This window comes from Homo sapiens, chromosome 19 (assembly GCF_000001405.40).
Source record: "Homo sapiens chromosome 19, GRCh38.p14 Primary Assembly".
NCBI classification, from domain to species: domain Eukaryota; kingdom Metazoa; phylum Chordata; class Mammalia; order Primates; family Hominidae; genus Homo; species Homo sapiens.
This window is the reverse complement of record NC_000019.10, coordinates 30,074,629-30,094,926: the sequence shown is the minus strand read 5'-3', so window position 1 is coordinate 30,094,926 and position 20,298 is coordinate 30,074,629. Positions and strand designations below refer to the sequence as shown.

General features: G+C 51.7%; 1 long non-coding RNA gene across 1 annotated transcript, besides 5 other annotated features; it reads right to left on the bottom strand.

The window, feature by feature from the left end:
* Positions 1,333 to 1,861: an enhancer, noted in NCBI's record as "H3K4me1 hESC enhancer chr19:30583973-30584501 (GRCh37/hg19 assembly coordinates)". NCBI's record gives its function as "activates a minimal SCP1, AML or CMV promoter by ChIP-STARR-seq in naive H9 embryonic stem cells {active_cell/tissue: H9 hESC(naive)}" and the evidence as "EXISTENCE:reporter gene assay evidence [ECO:0000049][PMID:30033119]".
* Positions 1,862 to 2,392: an enhancer, noted in NCBI's record as "H3K4me1 hESC enhancer chr19:30583442-30583972 (GRCh37/hg19 assembly coordinates)". NCBI's record gives its function as "activates a minimal SCP1, AML or CMV promoter by ChIP-STARR-seq in naive H9 embryonic stem cells {active_cell/tissue: H9 hESC(naive)}" and the evidence as "EXISTENCE:reporter gene assay evidence [ECO:0000049][PMID:30033119]".
* Positions 7,883 to 16,794, bottom strand: LOC107985271 (uncharacterized). The gene is made up of 3 exons (XR_001754032.3): positions 16,675 to 16,794; positions 10,459 to 10,589; positions 7,883 to 9,707 (listed from the first exon to the last, which is right to left on the bottom strand). It is a non-coding gene; the product is annotated as an uncharacterized LOC107985271 (long non-coding RNA).
* Positions 9,546 to 9,595: an enhancer, noted in NCBI's record as "active region_14427". NCBI's record gives its function as "activates an Ori minimal core promoter by ATAC-STARR-seq in GM12878 lymphoblastoid cells {active_cell/tissue: GM12878}" and the evidence as "EXISTENCE:reporter gene assay evidence [ECO:0000049][PMID:35858748]".
* Positions 10,474 to 11,447: an enhancer, noted in NCBI's record as "VISTA enhancer hs721". NCBI's record gives its function as "enhancer in: eye[5/10]" and the evidence as "EXISTENCE:transgenic organism evidence [ECO:0001131][PMID:17130149]".
* Positions 18,818 to 19,884: an enhancer, noted in NCBI's record as "VISTA enhancer hs382". NCBI's record gives its function as "enhancer in: neural tube[3/4] | dorsal root ganglion[3/4]" and the evidence as "EXISTENCE:transgenic organism evidence [ECO:0001131][PMID:17130149]".

The following is a 20,298-nucleotide window of genomic DNA, read 5'->3' as shown; positions in this document are numbered from 1 at the left end:
CAGGGTGGGAGAGGGGCACTGGCCACTGGTGGAAGCTTCTTAGCAGGCAGAGAGGCCCAGGCAAGCTGAGGGCAGTCTCTGTACTCCCAGCTCAGAGGGGCTGGACCCTACAACAATCTGCCTTGCTATGCTGTGCCCAGGCACCAGCCTAGGCTAGAGGGGCCTCTCTCGAGCTGGGCACCTGCTCCCGACTGTCTTGAGCCCAGCAGCCCAGCAGAGCCAGCTGACTCACTGACTTCACCCAAACTATCCCTTTACTACCCCACCCTCCACTACATCATGCTGGGGCATGGACGGGTGCCTGATAACCAGGTGTGTGATGACCAGGTGTCTGAGGGCTGGCCCCACCCCTGAGACAGCCTTTCCACCTTCAGCAAGGGAATTGAGGGTCCAAGACTCTCAGGAGCCACAGAGGACAGGATTGTGTGGACCACAATGGGCTCAGCCAGGACGGGAGTTAGGGAGGCCATGGGAGTGAGCCCCAGCCACAGGGCTCCCAACTTAGGTGCATCTGCACCTACGCAGGGGAGCAGGTAGCTGCTGGCACCATGCGGAAGAGGGCTGCAGGATGAGGGCAATGCAGGGGACCTGAGAGATTGAGGACGGTCCAGAGGAGGCAACATTTCAGTCAGAATCCATGCAGGAGTGGAAGTTGGCCCAGATAAGAGGAAGTGAGGATGCTCCAGACCGGGAGAATGGCAGGGCAAAAGCCTGAACATCCCTGAAGGTATTTCGAGCAATGGCAGGAGGTGGGGGCAGGCTGGAGGGGTTGGGAGGGACAGGCCATGTGCAGGCTGGGCTGGGAGCCAAGGCAGGAGGGTGACATGGGGAGATGGAAAGAACAGAACTTGAGGGGCAGGAGATGAAGCCATTAGGAAACCATGCTTGTGGGCACCCCAGGAAGCGTGTGGGCCTGGGTTGATCACACATAGAGACATGGGCAACCCCTCTAGACACAGATATGTGCACTGTGTGTCACACACATCCACAGGGGTGCACATAGTGAGAACACACACGCACTCACACAGGCTCTGCACACAAAGATACACGCTCTACACGCTGATGGATGTACCATATAATAATATCCAATAACATTTACCAAATGCTATTATACTATCACTAGGTGCTATTCCAAATGCTCGCCACACCTTCACTCTTTTAATCCTCACAACAAACACCACTGTTAGGTCAGGGCTATCATTACCCCCATCTCACTACTGGATAAACTGAGGCTGGCTAGGAGGCTCCTGATGGCTGAGGTGGAGTTGGAGGTGAGAGCTCAGTCCTGCTCCATGGTGCCCTAGCTCACACCTGGGAACAGCTGCTGGGTAGTTGGAGAGGAAAGATTTCAGATCAATAGAAGGCAAAATGCTCTTCTGATTAGAGATATCCCAGTTGATTGCCACCTTGGGGTGCAAGAGAAGACCCCGAAGAATGCGCACAGAAACTGGAAACAGATGGATGTTCTATCTGTGTGGTGCAGCCTCTTGTAAGCAGTCCCATGACTATAGAATCCACCTGCTCGCAAGGGCCTGGAGCTGCCTGTTCCCATGGTGGGAGGCCTGGAGGGTGGGTGTGTGTGGTGTGGGGAGCACAGGAGACAGCCGGGGTCTCCAGCTGCCTTGGAAACCAGAGGCTCAGGTGCTGGTCACCCTGGGCCTCCTGCCCCTAGTCTTGATCACAGAGAGCCCCCTGCCCCACCACCCAGCCCTGTGAGTCCTGGCATGCTCAGCCCCTGTAAGCCCCACTCTCCCAGGGATCAGGCTTGGCCAGGCCACCAGCTGTGTCATTTACACATGCCCTGAACATTTGTGGAACGCCCACAATGGGACAGGCACAGAGCCATCTGATTGCTGGGCGGGGCTTTCCACACCCTCCCTTGGGAGAGTCAGGCTGGGAGGCCAGTGCCTCCATTTTCCAGATGAGGACCCAAGAGAGGCCCAGGAAGAGCGGTGTCTTGGCTCCCAGGGGTTAGGCAGCTCTCCCTACACCCCAGGGCCTAAGACCCAGGCAGGGGTGGTGCATTCTCCATGGGTCTCCTGTCCCTCGGTGGCCCAGGGAGGAGCAGCCCAGAAGCCACCAGCAGCTGGGCGCAGCTGGGCCCAGCCGGGCCGCACCGTCTCCCCCAGTAGGCACTGGAATTCAATGGCCGATGTGCTCAGCCGATTCCAGGACTCCATGAACACCCCTCCCCTCTGAGGTTAACAGGATAAAGGCTGGGTAAAGAAACTGCTTATTTCCCCAGCTTAAAGAAGCAATTATGCGACTTTCTAACGTGGTTTCAAATATATTTTGCAAACTAGGACTCAGACAAATATTAATGGCAGCAAATTACAGTACTTAGCAGAATTATCACCTAGCAAAGAGGCGCTTTTAATCTATAAAAAATATCAACAAAAGATGTAAATATGAACCCCTCAATGGGTGGTGTATCTTGAAGAAAATATACATCTAATCTCACAGTGTGTTACCTCTAATACCTGGGGAGAAGGTTAACAATTCTGAGACGTTCCCTACAGCTAGAGAATATATTTTGATGTAGATTTGTGGATATCAGAGACTTTAAATCTATTGTATAATCGTAGGGTGGGAGGGAGGAGCCCGGCCACCTAATTCTCCACAATGGGAAGGCGGCCAATGAGGGCTGTTCAAATGGCTGCACTTACCTTCCTGAAGCTCAGGGGGCTTCACCAGGAGCCTGAGACCTCCCCCTGAGGAAGGAGCCCACTGAGCCCTGGTCCCAATCAGAGCTGGGGCTGAGCCTCAGAGGCCAGCAGGCCCACTACCCACTGTTGAAGATGGGGGACCTTGCAGCAAGCAGGAAGTGGGGGGCAGGGGCAGGAGGCATTGATAACAAAGTAATGAACCCTGTGAAAGGCAAACCTGCCCATCTCCCTGTGTCACCGGGGGCCAGTGGGGGGAGCCGAAATGAGTGAGCTTGGCAGTGCAGACCCACTGTTGGAAGGACCTGCAGAGGCCCTAGACGACATTGTCACAGGACACTTGGGGCCCCCACAGCCCACCCAATGACTTCCTGGGGCCACACTCCAGCAGCAAGGCCCTGACAGCCCTCTGAAGATTTCCCTCTCACTCGCTGTGTCTGGGACAGGCCTGGGGCAGATGCTCAAAAGGCCTCATCCTTGGCAGCAGACGCAGTCAAGGTGGACCGTGGTCTTTGGGAGGCTGCGAGGGACGGACGATGTAATCATGCTGGCCGCACCTCTTCTGTGCCAATCCCCTATGTCATCATGTAATCCCTTGGCCTCTGGGCCTCCAGCCAGGACTCAGGCTCCAGGGACCCTCACTCTGCAGCCCTCCGGGTGGGGGCCCCATGGCCCCAGGTGCTGTAATCCAGGCACAGCTTAGTAACCAGGGACCAGCCGGAAGGGCCGTGCCATTTGGGTTTAACCCTCTCCTACACTTGCCCCCATTAAGCCTCTCCATGCTCTCCCTTGTACAGTCCCATAAGGAAAGTTTAGATGGACTTGAATTTCCATGATTTACATCACCCCAAAAAAGGTATATTGAACATAGGGTTCCTTTTCATGCAGCACCAAGACCCCTTACCCTTTATGCATTCTCTGGTTCCTTCCCACTGGGGAGCCTTACTATTACTTACTATTCCCTGTATCTGGGACAGCTTCCTTCCGGTCCTTTCTATGCACACACATGCACACCCATGCACACACACATATGCCACTTCACAGGTGTCACCTGGTGACACCCACCAGGTCCTCCTCAACCGCCCTTTCCTAGGGAGTCTCCTGCATCCCCAGCTCCTGCCGGTCCCCGCCCCCAGCTCCATTATCCACACATCTCCCGGGCCCCACTCCTCCTGGAATTCACCACATAAATAATACATGTATCCGTGTGGCTCTTAAAAATAGATGTCTGCTTCCCCCGTGAGACAACAAGCCCCAGGAGGGCAAGGACCTGGGGCTTTGTTTGGTTTTTGTTATTTCATTTTGGCTCCCTGGAACCTCTCCAGAGCCTGGCACTCCTGTGTTGTGATGAGTGTGTAAATGTTGATGCACCTTACAGGGCTTGGCCCGTCCCTTCTCCTGGTTGGGTACAACATTTGCTAAGGACACTCCTGCTCTGGGACTCTGGCATGGAGGCCATCCCCAGAAGCATTCACAGATTCCCACATCTCCGTCTTTCCAGTCATCATCCCAGACATGGAGAAGACTTTCCAGCAAAGCTGCTGTCCATGGCAGCACCCCCTGGGGCTCTCACAGGACACCAGCAGGGCCTCACCCTCTCCCACCCGTGTCCCAGCACACCCTGGGGCTCTCACGGGTCGCCAGCAGGGCCTCACCCTCTCCCACCGGTTTCCCCAGCATGACCTGGGGTGTCCACAGTCCATTTCTGTCATGGAACTTGGGGTCAAAGCCACTTGTGGGGGTCCCACTGCCCATCTGCCCCGTGGGTTGGGGTGTCTATAGTTCAGCAGAGGCTAGCCATAAAACCACACCAGCAAGAGAGCTACTTAAACAATTATAACTCTGTTATTTCTCAAAAACAGTTATTCCTCATAGTTAATTTGTTCTGCAACCCATAAAATGTATCTGGTTTGGTTAGTTCTCTTGGCCACCACCACCTGTTATCTACAGGAAGGTTTATTTAGGCTCGTCAGTACCTTCAAAGGTCTGCAGGAGCTGGGAGGAGGGCAGGAGGCCCAGTAGTCAGCTAAGGTGGGCAGGGTGGGGGCTACACCGCTGGGTTTCAGAGCAAACTGCAACCTGGGAGCTGGATGGGGAATTTCTGCCGCTCATATGAAACTGGGTCTTCCTACCTGCCGTGTGAGCTGCAGCTGTGGAGTAAATGCTTTTTGGATGCTAATCCACTGAGCGCTGAACAGGTCTCAGTTTCTGACTCTGGGACCTTGGGCAAGTCACTTAACCTCTCACGGCTGCTGTTTTCTGGCCAGAAACAGTGCATGGTCTGTCCCCACCTCTCTCACCCGGCTATTTCCAGATTTAATTGGATAATGCTCACAGAGTGCTTTAAGCTTCCAAGAAAGAGGGGTGCCTGCAACACAGGACAATTACTCTAATTATGATTGCCTGGGAACCCGCACACAATTTTACCTTTTAACATTAGCCCTGCACATCATGGGAGAAGAGTCAAGGCCGCTTGTCCCAAATGGGTTGATTTTAAGCAGCTCAATTTTCAAAGAAGGGCAGAGCTTAGAAAACAGAGGCACCTCCCTCTGCTGGCACTCAGAGAAAGTCCCTTCAGCTGGTCCCCACGGAAAGCCGCTGGGGTCTTCACCCACGGTGGCTGGGAGCAGCCAGGCAGGGAAATCGTGGCTCCTTTCCGAGGATGCAGGCTGTGGAGACAGCTGCATGATGAAAGTGGCCACCTCCCTTCTTGGTCCCTAAAATGTGTAGGCGTAAGTCTCCTCTGATCACGCCACGGGGTGCGCAAGCTGATCCTAGGACCCAGTTCAGTGTGTCCGCCCCGTCAAGCTAGCCATTGTCCCCTTCCAAATTATGGCTAGGCCTGAGTGTAGCATGACACGTGGCTAATTCAGGGCTGGATGCAGGGCCCAGGAAGCCAGACGACAGCCTGTTGGAACTGAGCTGGCCAAGCAGTGCAACAGTGGTGGGATCCGGCCCTGCACGGTCATGGGGCTTGGGCGAGCCACCGTATTGGTGCAGACAGACAGGAGACAGAAGACATACAGAGGACTGGAAGTGTGAAGCGATGCAGCCCTGGGAGAGAGTGAGTGACATGCTGCCAAGGCAGTACGGTTCCCTGGGGGCTGGTTGGCACTTCCAACCTCGGACTCCTCCAGTTCTCCAGGCTCCTCTTATAAACACTCTACGCCTCGCAACAGAACGCCCCTCCCAAGCTGCTTTCAGGTTCAGAGACCCTGCAAGAGTGGGACAGACTGGGCTGCAGGGTCTGGTCCTGGAGGAACCTGGAGAACAGGAGGAGTCGGAAGCTGGAGGTGCCCCCCAGCCTCGAGGGAACCGGGCCTCCGTCAACAGCACTTCACCTGCCCTCTCCCAGGGCATGTGGCTTCAACCTCCCAGGTAATTGATTGGACTCAGGGACTTCTCCAACATCTCTGGCCCAATGGTAACAACAGTGGCCACCATTCACAGGGTGCTTCCTCTGTCCTGGGCACTGGTATGCATTACGTCATCCAAACCCTCACACCAGCCAGGTGAGGTGTGTTAGCAACACCCCCAAGGAGAAAATGGAAACCCCCAAAGACGAAGAGATTGTCCACAGCCTCATTAGTTTCCACGCAACGGGGAGCACCAGGGTTTAAACTCCTATCCAACTCCTGAGCACAAGCTCTTGCCACCCTTTCTACTGCCTCCCAAGAATCTCCTCTCATCCCTGATGCTCTTCACCCAACAGGGTACACAGGGTAGACTTCGAGGCAGCAGGCTGCCCAGCCCGAGCTGGTGACACCCCATCCCTGGGACCAGGCGGGTCCCTTTCAAGCCCTGTGAGTTCTTGGCCAAGTTCGCTTGTCTGGGCTTCCTCTGCTATACAATGGGAATAACACCACTCTTTAGCAGAGATTTTGTGAAAATTAAATAAAAGAGCATAAAGTATTTTGTCAACTGTGAAGTTCTACATCCACATGAGCTCTCGGTCTTGACATTTCCTGGCTTTGCTGGCATGTTAGTCTTTCTTTGGGAAGCCAAGAGACAGATGTTGCCAGCGTGGCCCCCAGATTCTGAGTTCCCTGGAACTTAGGCAGGAATCCACCACCGGGAGTGTCGCCTCCTGTGGCTCCTTGTCTACGCTCCCTCTTAGTCTCATCTGGTCAGTCCCAGATCTCCAGGGATCTACACTTAGAACCAGGGCAGGGGAGAAGGGTCTCAGGGCAGGAATCAACAGTATGGTCGGCCCTTACTGAAGTGGAGATTGCTGTGTCATTCATGAAAACAGGTGCCATCACCCGGGGCTCCTCCCGGGAGGTGCCCAGACCAGCATGTCTGGCTGGGGTGACCAGCTCTGGCAACCATGCACAGACAAGGGCATCCAAGGGCATTTCTGCACACAAAGACTCTCAGATTTGCCATGGCTGAGGCCCATCCATTCTGAAATCTGAAAGAAAGGCACTTAGTTCAAGCCGGAGAGTTTGTTTGACAAACCAAGGAACATTTGTCAAGCTCCCAGCCAAGCTTTGTGGAGGACCAAACTTCATGCTACGTGCTGGGGGCACCAAGTGGGGAGAAAGAGGGGGAAAGTCGAAGGTCCAAACTTGGGGAACCCGGAGTGTGCAGAGAAGGCCAAGAGAACATCCTCTCCTCACTCGAGGCCAGGATGGGCTGAGATTAGTGGGGGCTGGTGGGCAGAGATGGCTTCTAGGGAAGAGTAGGATGAGCTGGCGGAAGGAAGGGTGGTTAGAAGCAAAGAGGCCCCCTCTGCCAGGCCAGCCGGCTCACAGGAGCACAGGCAACAGATCCCGCTGTCCATCTTACCCCAGTGTCATGTGGTGAGGTGGGAAGGCCAGCTTTGCTCTCTTGAGGCCATGGGCAAGCCACTGAACATTTCATGTACCATCACTTCCTAAGCAATAAAGTGGCATCACAGGGCTGTGGGGGGAAAAGCATCTCATCGTTATGCTGTTTTATGACTGGCAACTAATACTTAATGAATGCCAACCGCACAGCGCTGAGTGCTTTACGCGAGTTACCTAAGTGGAACTTCCCCAAATCTTAGGAGACCGAGACCCATCCTACTGCCACTTTAGAGAAGGGGGAATTGAAACGTAAGGAGTTGGTATTATTTGACTAAGACAAGTTAGTGCTGGGGTCTGCATCTGAACCGAAGCCTTTGCCTTTAACCAGGCCCATCCCAGCGTCCCGCCCATGGCTGGGGTGACCGTGTCAATCAGCACTGAACACAAAAGTAGAATGCAAGCCACAGAAGTAATGTTTTATTTTCTAGTAATCACATCAAAGAACCAGGTGGAAATAATTTTAGTGATGTATTAATTCTTAATTCAATAGATCTAAAATATTATTGAACTTGTAATCAATATAAAAAATATTAATGAGGCCAGGTGTGGTGGCTCACACCTGTAATCCCAGCATTTTGGGAGGCCGAGGCAGTTGGATCACTTGAGGTCAGGAGTTCCAGACCAGCCTGGCCAACATGGCAAAACCCCATCTCTACTAAAAATACAAAAATTAGCTGGGCGTGGTGGTGGCACCTGTAATCCCAGCTACTCGGGAGGGTGAGGCAGGAGAATCATTTGAACCCGGGAGTAGGAGGTTGCAGTGAGCTGAGATCGTGCCATTGCACTCCAGCCTGCGTGACAGAGCGAGACTCCATCTCAAAAAAATAAAAATAAAAATAAAACATACACGCACACACACACACACACACGTATGTATGAGATGTTTTACTTTCTTGTTCTCATACTAAGTCTTCAAAATCTGATGTGAATTTGCACCAACCACACATCTCAGTAGTTACATAAGGGTCTCAGTTCCTATTGGACAGCACTGGTGTCAGTTACCTTCCAAAGCAGGACCCTTTGAGGGGATGGGAGATGCCATGAGTGATAGCCAGGACAACAGGCAGAAACCAGGGCTGTCCCAGGCAAACCAGTCCTGTGAGATGCATGGAAAAACCTGGTTGCCTTTTCCCCACACCTACAGCCCAAAGCATCCTGTGTCCTGCACGCCCTCCTGACAGCATCATCTCGTGGCCCTCCCTCTGTCGTTGTTAATCTTTCCAAAAAACCTGTCTGCACCTTTGCTAATCTCTATTTATTTGTGCCTGCCCTTGTCCTTATTCCTGTCATCTTTCTTGTTCCTTTAGGTTTGCTCTGTAGCTCTTTTTCCAGTTTCTAGGAGCAAACACCTAGCTGGTTTGTTTTCAACCCTTCTTGTTTCCTGATAAATAGATTTAAAGGCATAGATTTCCCTCTCTCTGTGTGCCACACATTTGGGCATGTAGCATCCTCAAAATCATGCCATCCTTGATTTTTCTGATTTCTTTTATTGTTTCTATTTTAAACATGCTATTTAGCTTCCAAACAGAATTTCTGAGCTATTCTTTTGCTTTTAATATCTAGTTGTATTTCACTGTGATCGCAGACACGGTATAACCACACAGATTCTTTGCAGTGTAAGGAGACTTTCTCTATGGCCCACCGCGTGATTGATTTTGGTAAACATTCTGATGTTGGGTGAGTCCCTTCTCTGAAGAAGCCACTTGCTGCCAGGTTTAGCTTTCTGAAAGCACCAGTTAACTCATGGCGCCCCCTGTTCAAAACCACTGGAGGCGCCCAGCCAAGCCTGGCCCATCTCCAAAGTCGGAGCTTGGTCTCAAGGCCTCCCACGGCCTAGCCCGTCAGCTCCCGGTGAACCCGGGGAGAGGACTCCTGCACCTTTGTGAGTCACAGCCTGTCCTTCCCTCTCAGGCCCGGCTGTCACTCTCCTGGGCCTGTCTCAAAGAAACCCCAGGCCAGGAAGGAGCCCCAGAGGTGCTCAGTTCAGCAGAGAGAGCCATTTCCTGTGCATCTGCCAGTGGAAGAAAACAACAATCATGGTAATAACATTGGCAACACGGGTGTCTGCAACCCACGTTACAGCTGAGAACACGTGGGGTGTCAGGTGTGGGGGCTCCGAGGCCAGGGTAACTTGCCCAGGGCTCTGTCTGGCTGCAAAGCTGGGGCTGTAAGTTACTTCATTCAGTGAACACGAGGGCAAGAATTGATCCATTTCCTAGAAACAAAAATCAAGATAGGAAGGCGATCAGGTTCCAAGAGGAGTTGGTGGGGCTTTGGGATCAGTTGGTTCTCTAGGGACTGCTCCTAACCTCAAAAAACAACTGGCACGGCTGGGCATGGTGGCTCACGCCTGTAATCCCAGCACTTTGGGAGGCCGAGGCAGGTGGATCACCTGAGGTCAGGAGTTCAAGACCAGCCTTGTCAACATGATGAAACCCCGTCTCTACTAAAAATACAAAAATTACCTGGGCGTGGTGGTGCATGCCTGTAATCCCAGCTACTCGGGAGGCTGAGGTAGGAGGATCACTTGAACCCAGGAGGCGGAGGTTGCAGTGAGCTGAGATCATGCCACTGCACTCCAGCCTGGGCAGCAAGAGTGAAACTCCGTCTCAAAAAAAAAAAAGAAAAAAAAAAACTGGCACAACTTGGAAAGCCCTGACTGCTCAAGAAAGCCAGAACTCTATCCCCTGGCACAATGCCAAGGAAGCCCACAGCCCTGGGAAGAAGTCAGGTCCATTTCTACACATTGAGGCAGGACCCAAATCACCTCTGCACATCTGAATCCAGGGCAGAGGGCACGGGGAAAAGAAATGGATGGTGAGGGGTGTGTGCAGTTTTCTCCTGGACTCTGTTTCCCTCCGTCGGGTGCCAGAGGGAGCCCAGGGAATGTGGAAAGTTTAACGACAGGCAGGCAGACCCTGACTGGCAGCTTCGCCAATGCAACCCAGATAACGGCAAACGCAAACCTCGCCATGGTCCAGACACCTCGCTCCAACTTCCTCTCCGTGCCAGCACATAGCCCGCCAAAGGTCACGGACAAGATAGAATTTGACACAGTAAGACTCTGCTCCCCTGTTAATGCCCCTCAGATCCGGGCCTGCAAAAGTGAAATAATAAATTTAGGAAAACAAGCAGAATGACCCGTCTGGTTGGTTGGTTTTTCTAGATACCATCTACATATTTTAGAAACGTACAACCTTCTAATGGAAATGAATAAACTACTCAACCATAAAGTTGCTATAGAAGATATGCTTGTTCTGATTCGAAAGGGCATCTGCTATCTGCAATATTGATAATACTTTTCAAATTTCATCTGCTTTTGTTTGCATTCTGCGTTGTCTGTTTAAACACACTGGGAATAATAATGAATCCCTGCATTATCTCTACTTTTTCAAGGCCGAACATATAACTTTATCACAAAAATAATTAAAATTCTTTGGCACTCTTGTATCTTTTCCATTAAACGTTATCAACCAGTGACAATAAACTAACATGAGCCCAAGGCTGGCCACGGGCCGCCTTTACAAAGAATGCATTTGTCCCCGGGCGAGAGACATGAATTTTCAGTTTACAGGGTCAGGCGATCCTGAAGTTTTTTACAGTAGGAGACCACAAATCTATACCTCCTGTCCCCTAACGGGGGCTGGCGGCGGCCACAGGGTGCCCCATAAATTCTCAGGCAAGAATACACTTTAATAGGCAAAAAAAACCTTGGCAGCTTAATAATTCTGCGTTGCAAATTTAAATATTTTACATATCATTAGACATTAAAAACAAAGATTTATGCTGCTCGTCTCCACGGAGTGAGGACTCCGTTGACTTCACACCCGGCCATGAATCTGCTTGAGGTTCATTAGCTGAACGTCTTCGGCTAAGAAAGCCCGTCGAGTGGGGGCGGCCTCTAAATCACCATTTTTATTTTCCCGCCATCAGGAACCACTTGAGGAGATCCCTCCCCTGGGCAACGCCCCACGCCGGCTCCCTCACCCACCAACGTCTGGGAACCATGGGGTGGTAACCCAGCCTCTCCCAGCCAGCAGGAGCATTAACAGGGGAGCACAAACCCATCTTTCTACAGTACCCCATCACCCTAAGGCCTTGGCAGGGACTCACCTGCCAGGTCACACCGGACAAGGGGAGAGGGGATTTGAGCAGGGGCTGCTGGGTACTTCCGAGAGGCCAATTGACACACAGAACTGGGCCACAGGTTGACAGCCCCAGATAAGGAGGAGGAGAGGGCAGGGACGGGTGGTGGGCAGAGAAGTGGAAGAGGAAGAACTTCCCACAGCCACAGGCCCCACCCCTCAGTGGCCAGGGCTGTCCTATGGCATAGCTTTTGGTGACCATCCCCCCTCTCTTTAGGGGTGTCTCCTTCATATAGCCACACTCATCTCAAAGTCCTGCTTCTTCTGCAAGCCAGCTCACAGCCCTCACCCAGAAACCCCTTACCACCCAATGCAGCCTGTTCCCTCTTGAGTCCTTACTTAGGATTTCCTAAACAGAACTTGCTCTTCCCCCACACAGCCCAGAACCCCCTCAGCCCAAGAGGAAGCCCCCAGCATACGGCCTCTGGCATGGCCAGGTCTGCACCTTCTCCAGCCCCCTGATGCCCAGCAGCGGTGCCTCACCAGCAGCCGGGAGGGAGGAACGCATGAGTTACGTCTCTTATTTTCTGTATTTCTGTTGTTTGGACATGTGGAGCCTTGCTGGCCCAGAAGGGGCTGCCCCTGCCAGAGCCAGCCAGTGCTTAGAGAAGGTAAACAGCTCACCACCAGCAAGGCACTTTCAAATGCAACCCAACTGATCCAGAGCCCACAATCCTACCACCTCCTCTGCTGGCTCTCGTCCTCCAGGCCACTCTCCACCTGCTCTCATCACCCCAGGGCCAAGTACCAGAGAACCAGGGACAGTCCCTGTGCCCCAGAGCTGCTGAAATGACACAGACTAGCCCTCCTAGACTTGCTTACCCTCCCTTTCCCATTCCTGCCCATGGAAACCACAATGGAGGTCCTGGCCTGGCGTTCCCCTCTCTCCTTCTGCCTCTGACCCATCCTGGTGCTGCCCCACGTGGCCCTGGGGGTGTGGCATGCCCCCTCCTGGTGGGGACTGTGAGTAACTAACCACCTTGTCCGGGGCAGTTGTCTCCTGATCCATTGGCCGTATTGCACCTTAAATTTCCTGCTAATATACTATATTTTAAAACAAAGCATACAGCTGGCAGACGTAGGTAATTACAAGACAGCTTAGTGTTACGTAGGTAATTACAAGACAGCTTAGTGTTACGAAAGCTTCGAAATGCATGTCTTTTGAGGGAACATGAGCTGCCTGGAGCCACGGTCTCTACCACTCCCTGTTTTGTCACACCCACATCTCTGCTGGGCATGAAGCTTTAGGAGTCTAGGGTCCTAGCTGGGAGACTCCTACCCTGGTGGCCGGAGTGTGAGAGAAGGAATGCCCCAGCATCTGGGGAGGGGGCCAGTGGGCTCCTTGCGTGGTCATTGCTGGGTGCTGGATCCTGGTGGAGTCAGCTGGGACTGGGAGGAAGAGAGGGCCGTCTCAATCTGCAGATGCCCTGGACCAAGCTGTGGTGCTTCATTCTGCAGAGTCTATGAAGGTTTCCGGAGACCTTAGAAGAGCCCAGAAACACCACCAGAGCCAGCCATACTTGAGAAGCCATCTCCCCAACACTTTCCTCTTCCTCACATGAGCAACCTGGGTCCAAAGGACAGGAAGGGACTGGCACAGAGCTATCCAGCAGTCGTGTTCTTCTGGGTACAAGGGGAAGAGTCGCCATGCAAGTACCTCTCTGTTTTCATGTCAAATCCCACAGCTGACAGTAAGAGAATAAAAAAGGCTCAAGTCCACAAAGCAGAGAGAATGGGAAGGGAGACAACACAAAAAGGGATTTTGACAAAAAGTTGGAGAGATGATGCAATGGTTTGAATGTGTCTCCTCCAGAATTCCTATGTTGAAGCTTAATTTCATTGTGGTGGTGCTGGGGGGTGGGGCCTTTTGTGAAGTGATCAGGGCATTAGGGCTCTGCCCTTGGGGTGAGTCCATGCCTTTTAGAAGGGCTGGAGGGCACTAGCTCAGGCCTTTTTGCTGTTTTGCTCCTCTGCCATGTGAGGACAGAGCGTTCCTCCCTCCAGGGGGATGCAGCAACAAGGCACCATCCTGGAAGCAGAGACTTGGCCCTCCACAGCCAGTGCTTCGGTGTTGGACTTCCCAGCCTCTAGAACTGTGAGAAAATAGATCTCTGTTGTTTATAAATTACCCAGTCTTGGGGATTTTGTTAAAGCAGAAAAAACAGGCTGAGGCAGATAGAAAGCAGATGAGCAGCAGCAACCGAGTGAGTGAGAGCAGCCATGCAGCTGCAGCAGGGGACACTCAGGGACTGGAGGCAACAGGTACGTTTGAGCATGGGGTGTAGACAGAGCTAAAACCAGAGGGCTGGCTGAGAGCCAGAGTCACCCCAGTAATCTCCCAGCCCTCTGTGGCCAAAAGAGGGGGCCATCAGCCTAGCAGAAAGTGGAGTTCCTTCTCTGAAGCTGAGCAGAGGCAGTACCCCCTGACAAAAACAAGATATGTAGAAATGCTTCTTAGGGAATGGTGAGCCCCAGCTTCCCCCAGGACCCCAGAACTGACCTCCGTGCCCACAGGACATCAGCGGACTTCTCACTGACAAAAAATGACTGGCCCAAAAGAAAGACTAGTGGATGCCACATGTGACAGTTCCCAGGGAAGGAGGCATTCATTCCCCGTCACCCACCACAAGGCCCCAGCCAGCCAGCCCTGTCTGCAAACCTTCTGGTTAATTCCTCTGGCCCTTCATTCCAAGACGGCCACTATGTCTGAGGAAAGCCTCCAATGCAAGAGGCAGAGGCCAAAAGAGCAACTTGTGAGAGTTGCAGGCAATGCAGGGGCAAGAGGAAACACCCACAAAGTCATCATGAACCCCCCAGAGAGGGAAGAAAGGACATGATTCCATGACACAGGAATGGGAGATTGACAAAAAGAACATTTGCTAAAATAAACAAGAAAGAAAGAAAAAGACTGGGTGACAGTGGCTCACGCCTATAATCCCAGAACTTTGGGAGGCCAAGGTGGGCAGATGACCTGAGGTCAAGAGTTCAAGACCAGCCTGGCCAACATGGTAAAACCCCATCTCCATTAAAAATATAAAAATTAGCTTGGTATGGCGGCATACACCTGTAGTCCCCGCTACTCAGGAGGCTGAGGCAGGAGAAACGCTTGAACCTGGGAGGTGGAGATTGCGGTGAGCCGAGATGGCGCCACTGCACTCCAGCCTGGGCAACAGAAGAAGACTCCATTTCAAAAAAAAAAAAAAAAAAAAAAACAAAGAAAGAAAGAAAAAGAAAAAGAAAGAATGAAAAAAGTGTTTTAAAAAGTAGAAATAGGAGGACAGAATTTAAAAATAAATCAATAGAGTGGTTGGAAATTAAACTTAAGGAAATCCCCTGCAAAGTAGAACAGAAAGAAAAAATATAAAAAATAGGAGAGGAAAGATAAGATCCAAGGAGAGAGTGGATAGCAGAGTTAGAAGTTCAAATAGAGGACTCATAAGAGTCCCAGAAAGATGTGACTGAGAAAAGTCTGGGTAGAGCACTTCGAAGGAAATCACTCAAGGAGGCATCGGAGGATTACAGGACATGAGTCTCCAGATAGAAAGAGCCCATCCTTGCAGGATTTCAGAATGACAGGAATAAGGAAAGGGTCTTAAAGCTTCAGAGGACAAAACAAGCCACAGTCAAAAGACTGGGACTAGAAAAGAGAGAAGACATTGGGCTTCTCAAAAGCTACCCAGGAATTAAGACAGCCATGAAGTAATGCCTTCAACATTGACAAAATATAATCTCAACCTAGAATTCTAGATCCAATTGAATGGGTTGATCAAGAGGGATGGTGGACAAATGGCATTTCAAATATGCAAAGTCTTTAAAAGGCCATTTTCCAAGCTCCTTTTTTCCAAAGCCACTGGAGGATGTGCACCACCAAAACAAAGGTGTAAACCAAGAAAGAGCAAGAGGTAGCTTATGGAACAGAGATGGCAAAGGCGATTTGCAGGCTGAGACTGAAGGAAGACACCGGGAGAGCAGCTGAACCCCAATTCTTGGGAGCAATTAGCAGATCCAAACACTGTCAGAAGGACATCCTCGAGAAAAAAATAGAAACAGAACACAGCCGAATATGTCAACAATCATGATAAGAGTTCACCGTTCTGGTGAGAAATCTGGCATAAATTACCAATGGTACATTACAAAAATAAAAAGCAAAAACAATAACAAAAAAAAACCCAGGGCAATTAGAACAGCTCAAAGAGTGGAAAGTGGCCCCCAGGGGAGCCAGAATCAGGGTGAGAAGGGATAAAACAGAGACTGCTTTTTTTTTTCACTCCATGTGTGACATGCTGTTTAAAATTCTGCACCTATATTAGTTGTATACAAATTAAATATATATAATAAAAGAAAGTATTGCAATCGAACTGTCGTTAAAATAGCTCCAGGATAAATTCCCTTTGGGGAATGTGCTTCACTGTTGGTGGGGAGGGGGTCCCAGGCTTTAGTCTCTGCAGTGCCTGGCATCAGGTGAGGCAGACACGTGTTGTCATGTGACACACACTAACTGTCCACATCAGCATGGGATGCCTTGTCTCATGTGTGGCTGGGTCGGGGCCATAGGAGATGGCACCTGGCTGGGGAGGAGACAGCTCCCAGATTCCTCAGGGATGGACATGGCCCCAGACCTGAACTTGGCCCCAGACATTCTTTTGAACCCTCTCTGGGAAAGGCTCACTGGGTCCTGACCACCTTACCTTGGTGAGCCCTTCCCAGAGACGCTGGCCCCTGCAGCCCCAGGGTCTCTGAAGGAGCTGTAAAAGGTAGGGAAGACTGCCCTTCCCTCTCGGGAAGGAGGACTTCTGTCCCAGCTGAAGCCAGAAATCTATACCTCTAATATGATGAGGTTGTCCTCCCCGAGAGATGGATTTCTTTCCAATATACCAGGCAGAAAGCAGGCTGCTTTCCTGTATCAGCACATTCCCAGCCTCCTCCTGGCCAAGGGAATGCTGGCCAGGTACTCCGGGGAGCCAGGACCTCCCGCTCTGTCCCGGCAGCTCCCTTCACGCACAGCCCATGGCCAGTCCCCAGTGAGCCAGTTCTTACCCATTCTCTCTTCTCCCGAGAGGTGGAAATCACCATTCCCACCTTGTGGGTGAGAAAGGCCAGGTTGAGAGAAAGGAAGGTGTTACCACAGGTGGGCATTGGGACAGGATCTGAATGGGCGGGGCTCACCCTCTGTGATGCCCCTCCAGGATCAGTGGCCTCAGCAGCCCCGTGGTGTAACAGAGATGTGCGAGGCCGAGAGGGCTCTCTGGTTCCCCATCAGCCCCAGGCAGTGCAGCTAGGAGCCCAGGCTGGGGCTGGGTGCCCACTATGGTGGGCAATCAGAGAGCTATCTGCTGCTGTCCAGGAGCTCCTGACACACAGTGTCTCAAGACAGGCACCAGGAGAGCCAGGCATCCCGGCCCCAGATGGGAGGCCTTGCCCCAACCCTCTTTACTCCCCTTCATGCCTCTCCTGAGTGGAAATTCAGCTTCTTGGTTTCTCTGCTGCTTTCCTCCCTCTCTATTTTTTGCAGTCCTTGGGATTGAAAGAAAAGAGATTTTTCTAATTACAAACCACGTTCTCCTCTGGCCCTGGGTGGCAGAGAGGCCATGGGAGGGGCAGAGGCTGGAGAAGTGGGGCAAGGTTTTAAGCAGGAACCAGGGCATCCCAGGGCTGGCCAGCACACACCCCCAGTCCACAGATCCCATCCAGATACTGGGGGAAGCCCTCCTTGTCCCCCTCAGCCCCTGGCCTGGCACCTGTGGCCAAAAGGCCTGTGAACATCGCCCACATGCACGGTGGCCCAGGCTCCTCTGGCCTGGAGGTTCTAGGGAGACTGTCAGGGAGGGATGGCCCAGCCTCAGGGGAGCCCCGTTCCGATGGGGAGAGCACAAGCCAGGTTGGGCACAGGTGGGCAGGCTGGCCCTCAGGGCCTCCAGAGGTTGTGAAAGGGTGGTGAGCATGGATGAGTGTGTGTGCATGTGGGTGGGTAGGAGTGTGCATGTGTGAGAGTGTGAGTTGTGAGTATGTCAGAGTGTGTCTGAGCATGTGTAAATGTGTATGAGAGTGTGGCAGCAGCCCCATCCCTGCCTGTGATGTCCCATGACTGAGGATGGTGTGATGTTACCTTCTGGTTGAGAGCCCTGGTGCAGAGCCAGAGCTACTGCACTGCACAATTCCTGGGGGAGCCCTTCTCGTGTTCATCCATGTGAAAGACACTCCTACTGTGGTTCAGTGCACAGCCTGTGCAACTGTACACCTCAGCCACACTGAGATCCGCATGCTCACCACTGCCCTCTGCATACATAAAGTAGAGGCTCTCAGGCGCCCTGAGGAGCCCTCCCCAACAAAGAGGCCACTGGGATCTTCCCGACAGGCTGAGCCGGCAGGTGAGAGCCTCCCACCCGGTTTCGTGGGTCCCAGGGGCTGGCAGGCCAAGGGCTACTTCCTTATTCTGTGGGGGCCCAGGGTAGGCTGGGTGTGGATTAGCGGGGTACAGGAAAGAGCTTTCAGATTAGGGAATAGGAGCAGAGTCACGGTAGCCAGTGTAGACGGATTGGCCACAGACCCACTGTGCAACATCATGCCCTGGGGCTCAGTTTCCTCATCTGATTTTGAGAAGCTGGTCTGCAGTGGTTTATTCCTAGGGCCCCCTTCCCTAGAGCTCACCTAGAGTCAGCATCCCTTGTTCCCACTGGGCTGAAGAGAGGCAGGGGACTGCCTAGGGTGGGGACAGTGAGGGGTGGGAGAGGCAGGCCTGGGCCAGTGGGTTGGGGGTCCTGCCCGGTGCCCTGTGTCAGTGACCGACCTGGGCATCTCAGCCACTTCTTCCATTGTTGACATAACCACTGTCAGCCCCACACATCCCCTTTAAATAAGGTTGAGATGCACTTGCCCCCAGCATACACAGCCCGCTCCTGGCCTGGAGGGGGCTCCCCTGTGGGCTGGGAGGGGGAGCAAGGTCCTAGTGGATCCTGAGCCCTGAGCTCCTACATTCCTCTAACTCCAGAGCCCCCATCACGGGCGTGGGCTAAGGGAGACTCACGTTCCTCACTTCCTGGGTCCCCAAACAGCCCAGCAGCCCCAGGTGGGGATGAGAGGGGCTGGGGAGGGGTTGGCAGAGGAACAGCCAAGCCAGGAGCGGCTCAGGAGCCCGCCAGCCCCGCTCACCACTCCCAGCCCCCCAGATCACAAAGGCCCCGCTTCCCGTTTCCTTCCTATTCAACCATGTCTCTCCATTGTCAATAAAAGCCATTTTTAAGGTCAACTATCTTCTTCCATCAACCGCCAACCCCACGCAGTTCCAACAGCACCAGCCCCAGCACCACATCATGAAATAAAAATTAAATTGTAGTTGGGCTTTTAAATCAACTCAATTAAAATAAAGAGATTCTTGGCTTGATATAGGGAAATATTTGTATTTCCAATTCTATTTGTTAATACATTGACATATGTGCTATTTTTTAAACGTAACACTAAGTGCACTTTCTGTCAATGCCATAGATTTTTTAATAGACTGAGAAAATGCATTTCATTTCTTCTTATTTTCCTTCAATACATCATTTGGTTCTGCTTTTTTGCCTGCATGAAATTCATTTTCTAATGGAAATATTTGTTTTGTAAATCAAATATGTATTATGCACAAAATGCAAAGCACAAATTAAATTATGTTAATGAAATGAAAGAGATATGAAATGCATATTTCATGGACAAAACATAACCTCAGCAAACAACCATTTCTTGATAAAATCTTTAAACACAATCTCATTCTGTGACAGACATATTGTTAAAGTAGATAGCACCTCATTTAAATGGTTTCCTTTAATATTAGTGCTTAGTATATAATTGTAAATAACTTTTGGGATGAAAAACCAATAATGAAATACTGTCTTTAATAGTTTGCTATTGATGTCAGCATAAAATTTGTCGTAGTTGAATATTGGAAATTGGGAGTACACAGAAATATTCTCAAAAGCTGTAAATGATTGCATATTTAAATAGAGCTGACTAAGGCAAAGATGTTATAGATATTAGTAATAGGCAGAAAATTATGCTGACCTCACATTATTTGACAAAACCCACTGTTTTAAATTATATATTGGTTACACTTAATGAATCATAGATTTTGTAGGTGTTGTTTCTCCAATCATAATGCTGATGATACACTGTGTCGGGGATTTCTTAGTCATCTTTCTGACAATAAACTCAGCCTTGGCTCACGAAGGTCGGGCGAGGGGCCAGTGGCTCGCCATTCAGTGCTCTCCTGCTGGAGAAGGGCTCCAGGGGGGAAACCGCCCTGGGATAGATGGAACCACAGTGACCGTTCCCGGGGCAGGGCAGGACCTGCTCCCAGCCCATTAGCCAGCCGGTGGGCTTGGATCCAGGTGGAGTCGGGGCCAGCTCTCTGGGGTAGAACCTGTTGGAAGTTCCTGCTGAGAGCCCAGTTTTCCAGGAATGCCAGAGGCTAGGAGTGGAGGAGGCCTGGCTTGCAGTTTGCAGAAGTTGCAGAGGGACAGCTGTCTTCCCCCCGTCACCTTGATCATGAGCCATGCAGGGGATGGGAAAGGATGGGAGTGGATGGCGTGTCCACAGGCCAGGCATCCACGTGACCAGGAGAGACTGGAGGAGGAAGGAGACCACAGCACTTGGTTTTCCCAGCCTCCAAGCCTTAGTCCTCAGGCT